Here is a 15553-nt window from a genome sequence, read left to right as displayed (position 1 = left end):
GTGGTGCTGTCTTCTCTCGAGTGTTTATTAACCTACTAGAATCCTGTAGTCAGGACCAAATTTTTTTTTTTTCTTTTCTTTTCTTTTCTTTTTTTTTTTTTTTTTTGGTGCTTTCATTACAGATGCTCCCCCCCATCTACTGGGGCATGCGTCCATCCAGCGGAATCACCTATGTGACCCTGGCCCTCGGGGACTAGGAGAGGCAGCTGGGCCCGCCTGCCACCTGCCATGCCAGGGCTCCAGGAGGCTCAGCTCCAGATCGGAGAACAGACCTTGGAAGCAGCCCGCCCAGCCTGCTGTGTCACCAGGGCAGTGCCCACAGGGCAAGGTGAGCAGGGCCCTCGACTAAGAGCCACATCCTTCCAGGCTTCCCCAAGAGGACCGAGGCATGACCACCCCCACACCCCTGGTGCCCTGGGCCGACTCACTCCCGAATCTCATCAATGATTTTCTGCTTCTCCTCAATTTCGTCTCGGAGTCTGGACAGCTGCTTCTGGTGAGCTTCCCGGTGGCTCTCCATCTGCTGCTCCAGCGCCTTCTGCATCCCAGGCCAAGAGAAACATGTCATCTACTCGTTGGCACTCAGCCCACTCTGTGACAAGCCCTGGATCTGGACCTACCTCCTTCCCTGTGTCCCTCAGATGTCAGATCCCAAAACTGGGGGCATTTCTGGCTGTTTTGCCCCCAGGACCCGGCCTTGCTTTATTGGGATAACAAAACCCAAGATCTGTTATCAAACCAAGTTGGCCCTAGAAGCCAATTAGCCCACCAACTAAATAAAAAGTGTTCCCTTGACCTTTTACAGCCCAGCCTGAGCTTCTCCAGCCAGGTCAGTCAGAGGGCACCAACCTCTCCCTATCCACGTAACCTCCAGATAAGCCTGTAACCTGTGTGAGCTGCACTCCCTCACATGTAAAACTGAGATAAAAGCCCCTGCCCTGCCCACTGCACAGATTTATGATGATGTCCAAAGGAGACCTTTTGGCAACAGCACTCTGAAAACAGGAAAGGGACTCCCACGACGCATGATTTTATTCTGCTGGCTGGAGCAAGGGCATGCCGTGGACGTCTTTAACTGTGGACCTTGACTCAATGAGGCTCATAGTTTGCCTACAACTAATCAAAATCCTACATCTTCTCCTGTCTCATTTTATTCACCTAAAAGTCTTACTCCACAATCAATTTTCCTTTACAGTTTAAAATGTGACCAAAAGAAAAATCTCTATGTTTGAGATAGAAACTCAAATTTGGTGTGTTCTGCGTAAAGGTTGGAGGAAGAAATCCTTAGAAGTTAACTCCGACAAAAGAGCCCATGCAGTGATTGGGGGTGCTACCCTTTCCCTCTTCATCAGGAATGGTGAAGACAAAGGTATTAACGCAACTTAACCATTCTCTACAGACATCTTGGGGTTTCTGGACTTGTTCATTTCTAAGCCAGGCTATACTCTGAGATCGACTCTGAATGCCCAACAACAGCCCCTCCCCTGTCCCTTGCCATATACGGATCTGAAGGTGACAGATTTTCCTAGAACAAGCATTTCCAATCCAAATGCATCAAATGCACACTGGGCTTGATGGAAGGGGCAGCCACACACACCTTCATTTCTTCAGCATCCTGCAACCGCGTCAGATGTTCCTTCTCCTTATCCTGGAAGCTGACTTCGTGCATTTTTTCTGTTTTGAATTTTAAATGATGATTTAAGACTTAACTGGTGGGACTCACACCCAAAAGCAAAAATTAAAAAACAAAAAGCAAGAAAAATGGCAACAGAGTGAAACATCAGCTTATATCAGCAATTACAACCATGGCATAAAGGAACAGGCAAGGACTTCTGGCTAAAGCCAAGGCTGCCCCCTCCTGAAGCATTCCTTCCACGGGGGAGCGCGACAACTGCAGGGGACAATGCTTACTGGGGGACAATGCTCACTGGGGGCGGCCCTCCTAGGACTGCACTCTGGCTTTATGTCACCGCACACCTGGGAGGGCTTGTTTCCCACCTGGTCTCTGTGAGCAGCCCAAGGTCATGTGCATGAACGGGCCTTACAGATGATAAAGCCCTCTGTGACTGTTAGGTGGCCTGTGGACCCATGCCATGATGGGAGTTCTAGGAAGACCTAATTTACCTCCCATGGGTAGGCGTTTATTCTCTAAGAATCTGGGGCAGGAAAACATACTCTGTTTCCAGGATGGGAACACGGGAAACAGAAAGATAGCATAACATTTTTGAGATTAAACCAGAAGGCCCCATGTTTGGGGCAGGGCTGCAGTGTGGCACTCCTGTCTCAGCATATGCTTGGTCGATGGTGCTCCCTAAATGCCAGCCAGGTGCAATGGGCAGCCCCAGCTGGGGAGCTGGGGTGCCAGGGGGCAGAGTGCTTTACGACAGTGACATTCAATTCATTATTTCTCTCTAGTCTGTTCCACTTCAGGTTTTCTTGCCTCTATTTTATTTCAACTCAGTGGCCCCACTGCAGGAACCACCGGATGCAAGAGAGAAACATGATTTTCCATGTGCAGTTTTGATGGTGCACCTACTCCTAACATGCCATGTGTTACCACACAAAGAACATGTTACAAGGTTAGAGCAGAGAGTGGGTATGTTCTTTCTTTTTAAATTTGCCTTGGCGTCTGACACAAATTGCATTTACTGAGCAAACTGTAAAACAACAATAAAGGATATAAATACTGATAACAGCATCACCAATCCCAACTACCCTATCACAACCACTTTTATCTTAAATATGAATTTTTAGGAACACAAGCATCCATTCACTTTTTTTTCAAGATGGAGTCTTGTTCTGTCGCCCAGGCTGGAGTGCAGTGCCACGATATCGGCTCATTACAACCTCCGCCTCCTGGATTCAAGCAATTCTCCTTCCTCAGCCTCCTGAGTAGCTGGGATTACAGGCGTGTGCCACCACACCCTGCTAATTTTTGTATTTTTAGTAGAGACAGGGTTTCACCATGTTGGCCAGGCTGGTCTCGAACTCCTGACCTCGTGATCCGCCCGCCTCAGCCTCGCAAAGTGCTGGGATTACAGGCGTGAGCCACCGTGCCCAGCTGCATCCATTCATTTTTAATAGTTATAACCATAGTAAGAATACAATGATATATTGTGATTTTCACCTAACATTGCATCATAAACATTGCTGCACACCTTCATGTATTTCATGTGAAGAAAAAGTTCTATTAAATAACACGCCATAGTGTATTAACTATTAGACATTTAGATGGCTTCCTCTTTTTTGCTGATCTAAAATTCTGCAATGAATATCTGAGGTGTGATGATCAAAAGGTATGAAAAATGTTACAGTTATTAATATGTATTTTCAAATGGCTTTCTGAGAAAATTCTAACAATTTTCATTGCAACCCATAATATATATGTTCTAGTTTCACATTGCATGGCACATACATTCTTAATCCTGTTCTACTTTCTGCATTTCTAGACCCTTCTCTTGAATTTCTGCTTATATTCATTAATATTTATGAAGTGCTTCCTATGTGCGAGGCACTTCCCTAAGCTCAGGAGATCACAAGGCTGGCTGGCAAAGGGTAGAGCTTGTTCAAGGGGGTGCCAGGGAAGCCACGGCAGTTCAAACTTTATATTAAGAGCAACAGGATGCCATGGAAGGGTTAGAAGTGTCCGTTTGGACAGAGAGAGAATGTGAATTTTAGAATCATCCCTCAGGATGCCACACAGTGGCTGGCCCAGAGCAGACTGAGGGTGGGCATGGGTAGATGGATGTAGCCACAGTCCTTAGTTAACCTGGACAGTGAACCAGAGGGGCCTCTGGCAGGTGAAATGGACCGGCTCTGGTGACCAACTAGAGTCAGGAGGTGGGGAGCAGGGGATTCTGATTTGGGTAACTGGGTGGACTGTGAGGAAATGGGAAGATGAGCAGATTCAGTGTGGGGATGGTCTCTCAGAAATCTCTCCTTTTAGGCTGGGCACGGTGGCTGACTCTTGTACTTTTGGGAGGCTGAGGTAGACAGATCACGAGGTCAGGAGTTCAAGACCAGCCTGGCCAATATGGTGAAACCCCATCTCTACTAAAAAATACAAAAATTAGCCAGGTGTGGTGACACGCATCTATAGTCCCAGCTACTCAGGAGGCTGAGGCAGGAGAATCGCTGGAACCGGGAAGCGGAGGTTGCAGTGAACTGAGATTATGCCACCGCACTTCAGCCTGGGCAACAGAGCGAGACTCCATCTTAAAAAAAAAAAAAGAAAGAAAGAAAGAAAAGAAATCGCTCCTTTTTTTCTAGTTATGGTTTTGTTTGCAGTAGACCTAGAAATGCTTTAACTGAACGAAACTAAACATCATGATTCCAGCCAACCAGAGGCTGTCTGACTCAGGCCAGGTGTTTGACACCTGCACGTTAGTCAAATATTTACCCTGGGCTCGGAGCTTTGCCAGCTCTTCGCTGAGCGAGTCCTGGGACTCTTCTAGCTGCCTCCTCTTCTGTTCCATGTTCTGCATGTAGTCTGTCAGAGACTTGATCTTGGCTTCGTGCTTTAAACAAGCAAAAAGGAAGAGTGAATGACTAGCAAGTGGTCATCCAGGCTGGCCTGGAATTGTCTGGTAGGAAAATGCGAGAGAGGAGGGGTTCCTGAGTCCCTTTTCTGAGTGCCACAACCAAATGGTGCCCATTTTACCCTTGCCTTGGTGTTCAGAATCATACCAAGACAGACCTCTGCTTCTCCCTGTGCTTCTCGGCTTCATTCCCCACAGACACCACTCATGGCAGGCCCCTCCTCACCATCCAGTTAACATGAGATGCCAAAGGCCGAGCTGGTTTCCCTTCTCAGAGAAAAGCATGCATGAGAGAAAGGGGCTGGGAAAAGTGCAGGGCTGAAGGCCTCATTCATTGAACATGCACCTCTGGATTCCATCTTCACCATTCAATTATTAGGTCTTCCCTTTTTCTGTCCTTCAGACACACCAATTCCCATCTCAGGGCCTTTGCATTTTCCTCTCCCTGGAAGCTTTCCCTCCCCACCATCACCACCCCACCACATGCCACACACACACACTACCTTGGCTAGCTCCTTATCACTCAGGCCCCAACACTTTCTTACAGCACCTAATGTCTACATCATTTGTCTTGTCTTTTTTACTTGCTAGCTCCATGAGGGTAAGTGCTTAATAAATATTCGTGAAATGAATGGATGAATGAGAGCTTGTTGGCTGAACAGGGACAGTGGTAACTTCTAGGCAGATGGAAAATATATACAGAACACTCCCCTCTCCAGATCTGGGGAGCTCAGCTTTAGGCAGGAAGACCCTGGAGACTGAGCTTTAATCTAATGAAATAACCTCTCCAGAAAACACAACTCCTCCGTTGGAACAGTCATCTTATAAGCACAGTTTTTGGTGACGAGGATGAATGTAAACAAAGAAGATAGCATTTCAGCTGGAAAGACTGTGTCAGATTCCTTAGATCACATCAGAATATAAACAGCCATGGTTTCTGTTACTTTTGAACCTCAGGAAATAATGGTCGAATCTTTGCTATGCATGAATTGTAGCAGAGTGCAAACCTCCACCTAATGGAAGCTGTGTTTGTTGCTGATGCAGAAAGAGAACTTTAGAACAGGTACTCTTTAAACTCAACACATCATAATATTCTCGACTCTGATCTCATACAGCAAAGTCAGTGTCAGTCTGAGACCTGGACGATTCAGAGCACCCCACTGGGCCCTCCTCTGGCTACACCCTACTCCACTAAGCAAAGAGTTCACAGGCCAAAGGAACATGTCCATCTGAACCTATGTCCCCTATAGACCACCCTCAGAGTACTGGGGACCTAGAAACTTCCTACTCCAGGTCTGAAGGCCAGGGCTGGCACTACCTCTTCCTCACCCATTTAAACAAATGGCAGCCGGCATCTAACAGTTCCATCAGTTCACACCGGGTGCAAAAGGGAGTTGGACATGGAGCTGGTATGTCCAGCTTGAAAGAGAAGAGGGTGGGCTGCAGGCCATGGGGTCTCCATGAGTACCCTTGCCTTGGCCCCGAAATGTTAGAGGCAGGCTGGCCAAAACACATGCTTTTGGTATCATAGATGACCTAGAAATCACAGATGAGGTACACTGTTGCCTAATGCATATCATTTTTATTTTAATTTTTTATAAATAACAACTATATAATCATAAAAAAATAAAGTTCTAAAGCAAATCCAGAAAAAGTGGTGTAAACCATAAACCAATCTATGGACTATTTCCCCCTGATATTCCTGGTCTTAGCTGCAGGAATGCAAAGCACAATATAAATCCAACTCAGCATTTTCATTTTCACTTAACTTTATACCATTAGACTTTCCCAATGGCTAGGTTTTTACATTTTTTATAAGAGCTGCATAATATTATTCCATGTAACTTTATCTTATTAGTCTATCAATGGATATTTGGGCAATTTATTTTATTATAATGCAAAATAACACTGTCTTCAATACCTTGCATAAAAGCTTTTAATATTTTTAATCAGGAAATGAGAATACCATATGAAATAAATTTTTTTCATTTTCATTAACAATGAAAAATACTGTCAGTGAAATTACTGGACTAAATTATACTTACATTTTTATGGTTTCTGATTTCCACGGTGCTTCCCAAAAGGACTGACCAAATTATACTTTTATCAACAATGTATGAATATATCAATTTTACTATCACATATTAGCACTGAATAATCTTTTCAATACATTTCTGCTTATTATGCTGGTTATAAAATGGAACCTTGTGGATCCATTTTAGACAGAGAGGTTGGAGATGTTTCTATGATTACACATTATTATGGTTAAAAGCATACCAGAATAAAGTGTGCTTTTGTCCGCCTCAGTATTATTTGACACACCAATCCATGTTGGTATCTGTTTCCTGTTTACTCCAAATGACAGCCTATTTTAATGCCTGGCATAAAGCAGCAAGTAGTATACAACTAGACCCCTCCTGGAAACGTCAGACCCAAATACCAAGCTCAGATATCAGTGGTAGCCCAGAAACTGGGTTGCTGTTTTCTGAAGCTACCTTATTAAACTGAAAATGCCACTCCAATAGGAAGAAGAGCAGCCTTACTCAATAGGCAAGTGAAATGTACCCTCGGGCTTGAAAAGCCCTTGAAGACATGGGTTTTGGGTTCACACACATTTTTTTGAGTCCTAGCTCTGTCATTCACGGGCTGTAGGTGTTTGGACAGACATTTAGTCTAAATCTCAGCTGCCTATCTGAGGAATAATAATAAAACCTGCCTACCAGGATTTTTTTCAGATTAAGTGAGAAAATGCATGTGAAGTACTTAGCACAGTGTATGGTACATAGTAAACACTCAATAAAATGCCACCTGCTACTACTACTATTAGTAGTAGTTTCTGTTTTTCCATATTAAAGTGGACCTATGGTAGAGATTAAAAGATGAGGGAATATTGCCTTACTTACAGGAGTTTTAGAGATTCCACCCAATCTTTTACATTCATTAGCTAGCTAGCCATCCATCTATGGATGGGTAGATAGATATATCCTCGAAAAAGGGAACGGACTCAACAGAATTCATCTATTTCACACAACAAAATGTAGCCCTAGGAATAGACCTGGGCTGCCATCACCTGGGGAGGCCAAGCTTACACAAAGCAGTCCCTCAACTAAGCCTAAGGTGCACCATCAGCACCAGCAAGGGCATGGAGGGAGCAGATCTCAAGACAACAAGAGTGCAATGATGGGGAAGGGAAGGGCCCACCTGGGAGATGAGCAGCTGGCAGGCTGCCAGCTCCCGCTCGCTGGCATTCATCTTCCTGTTGGAGTCCATCTGGGCGCTCTCGAGCTGTTTGCTGCGGTTCACCAGGGACTTGACCTCTGACTTCATCTTGCTGATGTACAGGCGGGCCATGGTAAACTCCTCCTCAATGACTCCATTCACATCTGCCAACTGAGCAAAGAAGGGGACACACTCAAATGTTGCCCACAATTTCCATAGGTTCACGGACTCCCTGGAAACCTGCCCCTGGATCCCCAAGGTGTCCATGGATTTCTGGTTCAGAATCCTAATTAAAGGACAAGCGGAAAGTACTAAACATTCAACCCCAAGTTCTCCTACACCTCAGGTGAAACTTTCAGTTGAAACCCCCTACTAAATATAATCCTCAATTAACTAGGTTTTTCATTACCATCAATTTTTAGAAAGAGAAATGACAGCATAAGAAGAAACACTGAAGATTTTTAAAAGGAGATAACTTCAAAAAGGTATTCCATTCAATGTCTTACACCTTACATCTCTGTAACAGCAGCGACACCCAATGCTCCGAAAGGTGATGCTGAATTCCTATAAAAACTCAAATCAAAACTTCATTAATGTTCTCTATAGTGTGCTTATTCAGGTAGACAAGTAGTGTAATGCCTTGAATATGTTTCTATAAACAAGGATTGAAATAAAAAGGTGTTTCTATGTAGTCCTCAATTAAACAGAAAATCGAATAAATAAGAATGTACTATGAATTACCAAAGGGCTTCTTGATGAAGGTTTCTCAGCATAACTTTTCATTACTACTACCAGTCTATTTTCCTTTGCCTTTTCACACCTGTTCCTTCCAAACAGACAGTAATCTAGCTCATTATTTAAGATCATCTGAGAACAACAGTCTAAATCCACCTTAGAAAAGAAGATTCTGACAGCCAGCATTCCCGCATGATCTATATTTAGTTTCTAAGTTTCAAAGCTCTACTTGAAACAAAAGTTGAAGCAAGCTACTTGGGATAGAAACCCATCCGCTGAAATGCAAACATGGTCTTTAAGAGCAATTGACCAAATGAGCAAGTAACTGTGTGCATATTTTGTTTAGCCACCAGAGTGCAGCCTAGCACCTTAAGAGAAAACAAAGAGCCCTGTCCAGAATCCAGCGCAGAAACACAGGCTTCCACTGGTTGAAAGACAATGACTCCAACCGTGGTTTTTTGATGTTCCACAGTACACTCTGAGTGCCCACCTATGTCGTTATTGATGTCATTCACTCATCATATCACTATCTGTTCAGTAAACATTTGAGGGCTAAAAAAATGGAACCAGGTATCAGCCCTGAAATTTGGTAGCAAATATGAAGTACACTAGAAACTGCTGAGTGCCTGTAGTTTGGCATCAACCTTACCATAAGAATTCAACAACAATATAAATAGCCAACACACATATAGAAAAGGCTCAACATCATTAATTATCAGTGAAATGCAAATCAAAACCACAATGTGAAACCACCTTGCTTCTGCAAGAATGGCCATAATAAAAAAAATAAAAAAAAATAGATGTTGGCATGGAAGTGATGAACAGGGAATGCTTTTACACTGCTGGTGGGAACGTAAACTAGTACAACCACTATGGAAAACAGTGTGGAGATTCTTTAAAGAACTAAAAGTAGATATGCCACTCAATCCAGCAATCCCACTACTGGGTATCTACCCAAAGAAAAGATGTCATTACATGAAAAAGACGTGCATGTTTACGGCAGCACAATTTGCAATTGCAAAAATATGGAACCAGCCCAAATGCCCATCAGTCAATGAGTAGATAAAGAAAATGTGGTGTGTGTGTGTGTGTGTGTGTGTGTGTGTGTAAAATCATGGAATACTACCCAGCCATAAAAAGGAATGGAATAGTGGCATTCGGAGCAACCTGGGTGGAATTGGAGACTATTATTCTAAGTGAAGTATTAATAACTCAAGAATGGAAAACCAAACATCGTATATTCTCACTCATAAGTGGGAGCTAGCTATGAGGACACAAAGGCATACGAATGATACAATGGACTTTGGGGACTTGGAAGAAAGGGTGGGAAGTGGGGTGAGGGATAAAAGAGCACACACTGGGTACAGTGTACACTGCTTAGGTGATGGGTGCACCAAAATCTCAGAAATCACCACTAAAGAACTTATCCATGTAACCAAACACCACCTGTCCTCCAAAAACCTACTGAAATAAAAATTAAAAATTAAAAAAGTTCAACAATAGTACATGTCAAGTGACTCCAGTGTCAACAATACTGCAGAATGTATGTCAACAGCAAGAAAATTGACAAGTATCTATTTCTGACTCTACCTTCATGGAGGTCCTTGTTAAACCCATTTTACTTCCGACTGCCAAAGATCTGCCTACCAAAACCACTCCTCACTATATTCCTTTTCTATTCTAATGGCATGGAGACACTGGGTGAGAAAAGCATGCAATCTTTAAGTTGAGTGTGTTCTGCCACTGTCTTTAGTCCAGTGTAGGAGAAGGATGAGAAACACCTTCCTGAGCCTGACCAGGTGTATCTTACATCTTGTCCAGCCTCTGCAGAAAGACAAAGTAAAACCCATCTCTTCCACATGGAATTCACAGCCTACACCAGCTCCTGGTAGGAAAACGCTGCTGAGCCAGAAGCTCTGGCACCCTGGGAAGAGAATGAATTCCTCTTCTTTTCCAGGTCTGTCAAAGTAGGACACTTTGTCTTTTATGCCTAGATCCCATGTAAATTGAGGAAGAGTAAAAATATAGATATGTATAAAGATGGGCTTCCTCCAAAATAAGAGCTAGACATTTCTTCTCCCAAACCAGAGCTATAACTTCTGAAGCCAGTTCCTGTCCTTGGAGATCTAAAAGGAGATTTTGAGTTTGTGCCTGATGGATAAAAACAATACCCCTAACAAAGGGGTTTTAACTGTGAGGTTTCTTACCACTACAAAGTTCATATATTTAGTGGTTTCATGTTCAAAAGTTTCCAGTAATTTCAGGACACTGTTATTTAAAAAAAAAAAAAATCAGTTTGCTGCTGAAATTTTATTTATAACTGTCCCAGAGTCTGATAATGCCCCCAGTAGTACATACTAGACCATGGGATCCAGTATCAATGACCAACCCAGGAGAAAAGACCACACCGTCATGAAATCTATGGAAGATGTGGCCTGCTGCTTCTACCTGCCTATACAGGGAGTCATCCCTACCTCTCCACCTCCCTACCCCCATCTCTCAAGCATGGAGTGGCTGTGCACGATGATGAACTACTGCCATTCCTAGGCCACACCCAAGGTAAGTAAGGTGCATGTTCACATTTAAAGTCATAAAAGTTAGAATGGGACAAAAAGAAGTCAGTGTGGGCCAAAAGAAAATAAGGCAGCCAGTCCAATTCAGTTCATTTACTCTACCTCAACTTCTATTCAGGTTCTGGCTAAATTCCTTTGAAGGTAGCAAGGTAAGGTAGGCCCCAAGAAATACAAATAAAATCCTAACCCCCCGAATGACTGAACAGACCCCCTCGTGGCCAAGGAGACCCCAGAGAAATGTTAAATACCGAGTTCCAGCCCAGGACAGATTGGGAAGTTGGAAACGCCTGGTCATACACCCTCCCTCGCCAATCAGCATTAGGCTTTCTTCCCCAAGGGTTAAACAGAAGCCAGCCCTTTTGAAATATTCACTCCACTGCTTCACTGCTGATAACCACAGCCTGCCCCTGCCCCTCTCTTTTGCAATTTCAACACAACCACCAACCAAAGTTCCTTCCCCAACGAGAGACCACCAACCATGAAGTGGTTCTGGTTCTGGCCAGGCTACTAAGGCTGCACACAGCCTTCATATCCTCTGCTTCACCCTTTGATGTACAGGGCCTAATTATAATACATTTAAATGTTAAGTCTCCAAATAAAAGTGAACATGGGACCCATGTTGCATACATGTTTTCCTACTACACATGCACATGCCACTCCTTCATGAATCTTCATAGCTCCTCCTGTAACCTGTTGAATAAGTTTATTTGGCCACCCTGTGAAAAACATAAGTCCCTGTCATTCTTCCCATCCTCAAAGTGCTTCTTTCTGGCTTCTGGCCAAAGGCTACACTTCCCAACCTGTAAGAGTGGCCACCCTGCAGGCTGCAACCCATTATGAAAAATAAAGCTCTCCTTTCCAAATGTATGGACCTCATCATACTTCTGTTGACAGTTCAGTGCCACCAGTACATGAAAGGAAGAGAAGGCTCACTCATAAACTTCGATAAAGTTAACATTGGGCTCATCTTGTTATATGCTGGACTCATCTTGTTTTGTTGATGAAACAAAATGACTGGACTCTGGAAATGTTTCAAGACATGATTGAGCTGGGGATATATGGGTTTTTCTGTTTTCTGGCTTTTCAGAGCTGTCATATTCTAGAACTGTGGACTGGGGAAGGCTCCAATAGTCATATTTTTCCCCCATCCCAGAGCCCTACCAGGAGGGACCTTGTGAAAATTAAATGGCATTTTAGGAATAAAAATACAAAACCACTGAAACAAATTCCCTTGATCTGTTCATTTTCCTATATCAAAAGAATTACTATATCAATTCATAGTCATGACCAATAAGAAAAGTACCTGTACCTATAAGGATAAATCTAAAACAAATGTGCAGAAGTCAAGTAATTTCTGAGCCGACAATTTTTGATACTGTCTGAGCTTATCTTGTCATTTTATAAATTAGAAAAATGAAGCCCAAAGAAGTACAGTCACTCATCCAAAGTCATACAACTACTCCCTTAGCTCTTATCACCCTAATGATGAACTCATAATTATATGAAAAAAACCAGAATGATAGAAATGATGGCTATCAATGAAATTAACTAGGACATCCAATGTCTGGAATCCAAAAATAATCTCAAAAATATCCAATTGAGTATTTAAAAACAATCTCAATCTCAATCATAGTTCAGATTCCCAAAGGTAAAGACTCTTTTTTCAATACTGAAGCACCCAGACACTCCTGATTTCATTAGCATTTTCATCAGCTCTATTTTAGAACTTAGCATAAAAATACCTTCTTCCTTTATCGTTATCAGCAGCAAGCATCAACTTCCCATATATCAACTCCACCTTCATATTGTGAGGCCATTTAATCACCTCACATCGAATTTTATTGCTCAACACCAATGTATGGTTCAAAAAATTAAATCTTCAAATATAAAATCACCAAATTGAAGCTTAATAAGATTAACTCTATAGTATCTGAGAAGTCTGTGCTAGAATTAGATTCATTCACAAGGATTTATGAAATAATCAGTTACAATAAAGGTTCCATGAAAGAATGGTTACATTTACGAGCGGTCATGTACTCTAAGCTGGGACCTGTTACACCATCCAAAAACGGCTTTCAACATTTCCCAGAAATAGTCTACAAAAGGAAGCCTGATCTTGGGAGCATTTTCCAGTATTTAACAATCCCAGCTCACGACCTGAGTGTCCCCACTAAGCAGACTGATGTAGAATTCAGCCTTTTAAAGATAAAATGGCTAAATTCAAAGAATTTGGTTTCAGGGAATTGTGACATGTAAGGTAAGCAATGTAATACCATTCCCCAGCTCAACAAAATCAACATATATTCATCAATGACTCCTTTGTATAAGATGCTGTATTATTATAAAGCTATGGTGATCAAAACATTGTGGTATTGGCAGGAAGATTTGATCCATGAAACAAAATAGAGAGACCAGAAACTGCCCCCACATACTTTTGGGGGAGATGGGGACATTCATTATCTTAACGGTGCTGATGGTTTCATGACTGTACACATACGTCAAAATTTCTCAGACTGTATACTTTAAATATGTGCAGCTTTATGTAAATTATACCTCAATAAAGCTTTTTGTTTTGTTTTAAAAATGTCTCTACCCTGTCTTTTTGGTTAATAACAACAATAGCCTTTCTATATTCCAGCAAATTGTTACCTGTTCTGGGCTGATACCATTTTTAACTCTATCTCTTCCTTCTATTCCTAGTTTCTGGACAACTTTATACCACCCCTATTATCCCCACATCTCTTACTTTCTCGCTGTCAACAGCACCAATGGCCAGGTGTGGTGGCTCACGCCTGTATTCCCAGCACTTTGGGAGGCAGAGGCAGGCGAATCACTTGAGGCCAGGAATTCGAGACCAGCCTGGCCAATATGGAGAAACCCCATCTCCACTTAAAAAAATAATAATAATAAAAAAATTAGCAGGGCCTGGTGGCACATGCCTGTAATCCCAGCTACTCGGCAGACTGAGGCACATGAATTGGTTGAACCCAGGAGGCAGAGGTTGCAGTGAGCTGAGATTGCGCCACTGCACTCCAGCCTGGGTGACAAAGCAAAAGTTTGTCTCAAAATAAATAAATAAATAAATAAACAAATAACCAAGAGCACCAATATGTACAACCCCAAGGGATTCATCATGATTGGTCTATGCCAATTATAGTAATCCCAGTCCCCTTTGCTTTCCCAGAAATGTGGAGTGGTCATGTGATCCAGTTCTGGCCAATGAAGTGTAAGGATATGTCTCCTGGGGACTTCTGGGATATGTTTCCCTCCTGGATTAAAGAAGTTGGCCTTTTCAGCCCATCCTGCCTTGGATGTGGTTGAGTGAGGATGTGATGATTGGTACTACAGCAGCTATTTTGCTACCATGAGGCATAATCCTCTGGATTATGAAAAGGAAACAAGCTGAGGACAGGAGAAAGGAAACAGAGAAAAAGCCTGAGAACTTGACATTGTTGAGCCATGGCACCAAAACAAAATTTGCTTCTCAAACTTTAATAAGCATAAAGAATCACCTGGAGAATCTTGTTAAAGTGCAGATTTTGATTCAATAGGTCTGAGGTGGGGCCTGAAAGGCTGTAGTTCCAATAAGCTCCCAGGTGAGGCAGATCACACCCTGAGTGGCAAGATTTTAGACTTCTCATATTGTGAATAATTAAATGTGGTTTTATTTCTTAAGCCACTGTTAGAATCCTATCACTTTCACACTGACTTGGAGAATTTTCACTTCACTGGGTTCTTTCAGAAAAGGAAAAACACAATTCTGAGACTAGAACTGTTGCTTAAGCTATTTAATTCCAAACTTCTGCAACATTAGGAAATAAGTTGAGAAATAAACCAATTTGAGAAATAAACCAATTTACACAAAGCCAACCAACATTTGAAGACACTGCCTAGATTTGAAAGATAATTTTTTTTCTCCTCCTCCTCACCCCAACAAACAATTCACTCAGTCATTCAATTAGCCCTTTTTTCATTCATTCAAACACTAACCAGCACATGGCAGATGCAAAGCACAGTGCTAAGCATTGAATGCTTAAAAGAGTAAAGCACAGACCCTACTAACTTGACAGGAGCAGGTAGAGAGGATAAAAGAAGGGCTGGCTTACAGTTTTCACATCATTGGTGCCAATAATTCCACCTATCTCCCCCAGATCTTTCAACAGCAAATTCAGGATCTCAGTTGCCCTTTTCTTCTGGTGGTTGCTAAGCTCTTGTAGCTGGCTCAGCTCTCTCTGTGTGGTTGTCAATGTAGTCTGAAAAACAAATTTCAACAACAAATTCAAAGGGTTGCCCATCAATTTCATACACTCCACATTACAAAGAATAACACCATCATGTAGAATGGATTTCTTTTACATGACTTCAACCTAAGAATCCTTTTAAGGCAAACTCTCGCATAGCACTGCATTCTTGGATAAGAAGGGGAACTCTTTATCAACAAGTTGTATCACATGGCCTGATACATTATATGTCTACATATCAGATGAC

The 15553-nt window shown here is 42.5% G+C and overlaps 1 protein-coding gene across 5 annotated transcripts in view; it reads right to left on the bottom strand.

Moving 5' to 3' along the window:
* KIF5C (kinesin family member 5C) overlaps positions 1 to 15553 on the bottom strand; it is a 151533-nt gene that overhangs the window by 27822 nt on the left and 108158 nt on the right. For all 5 annotated transcript variants that reach the window (NR_111932.2, NM_004522.3, XM_017004062.2 and 2 more), the window contains 5 exons: positions 15172 to 15318; positions 7740 to 7928; positions 4400 to 4517; positions 1598 to 1674; positions 429 to 538 (listed from right to left, as the gene is read on the bottom strand). Coding sequence is in view for 4 of the 5 variants with exons in the window: in NM_004522.3 (NP_004513.1) it covers positions 429 to 538; positions 1598 to 1674; positions 4400 to 4517; positions 7740 to 7928; positions 15172 to 15318 (641 nt within the window). In the remaining variant the exon portion in view is untranslated. The remainder of the gene's footprint in view (positions 1 to 428; positions 539 to 1597; positions 1675 to 4399; positions 4518 to 7739; positions 7929 to 15171; positions 15319 to 15553) is intronic.

This window comes from Homo sapiens, chromosome 2 (assembly GCF_000001405.40).
Source record: "Homo sapiens chromosome 2, GRCh38.p14 Primary Assembly".
Classification (NCBI taxonomy): domain Eukaryota; kingdom Metazoa; phylum Chordata; class Mammalia; order Primates; family Hominidae; genus Homo; species Homo sapiens.
Note: the sequence above shows the minus strand (reverse complement) of the source record. Positions and strands in the feature narration are given on the sequence as shown.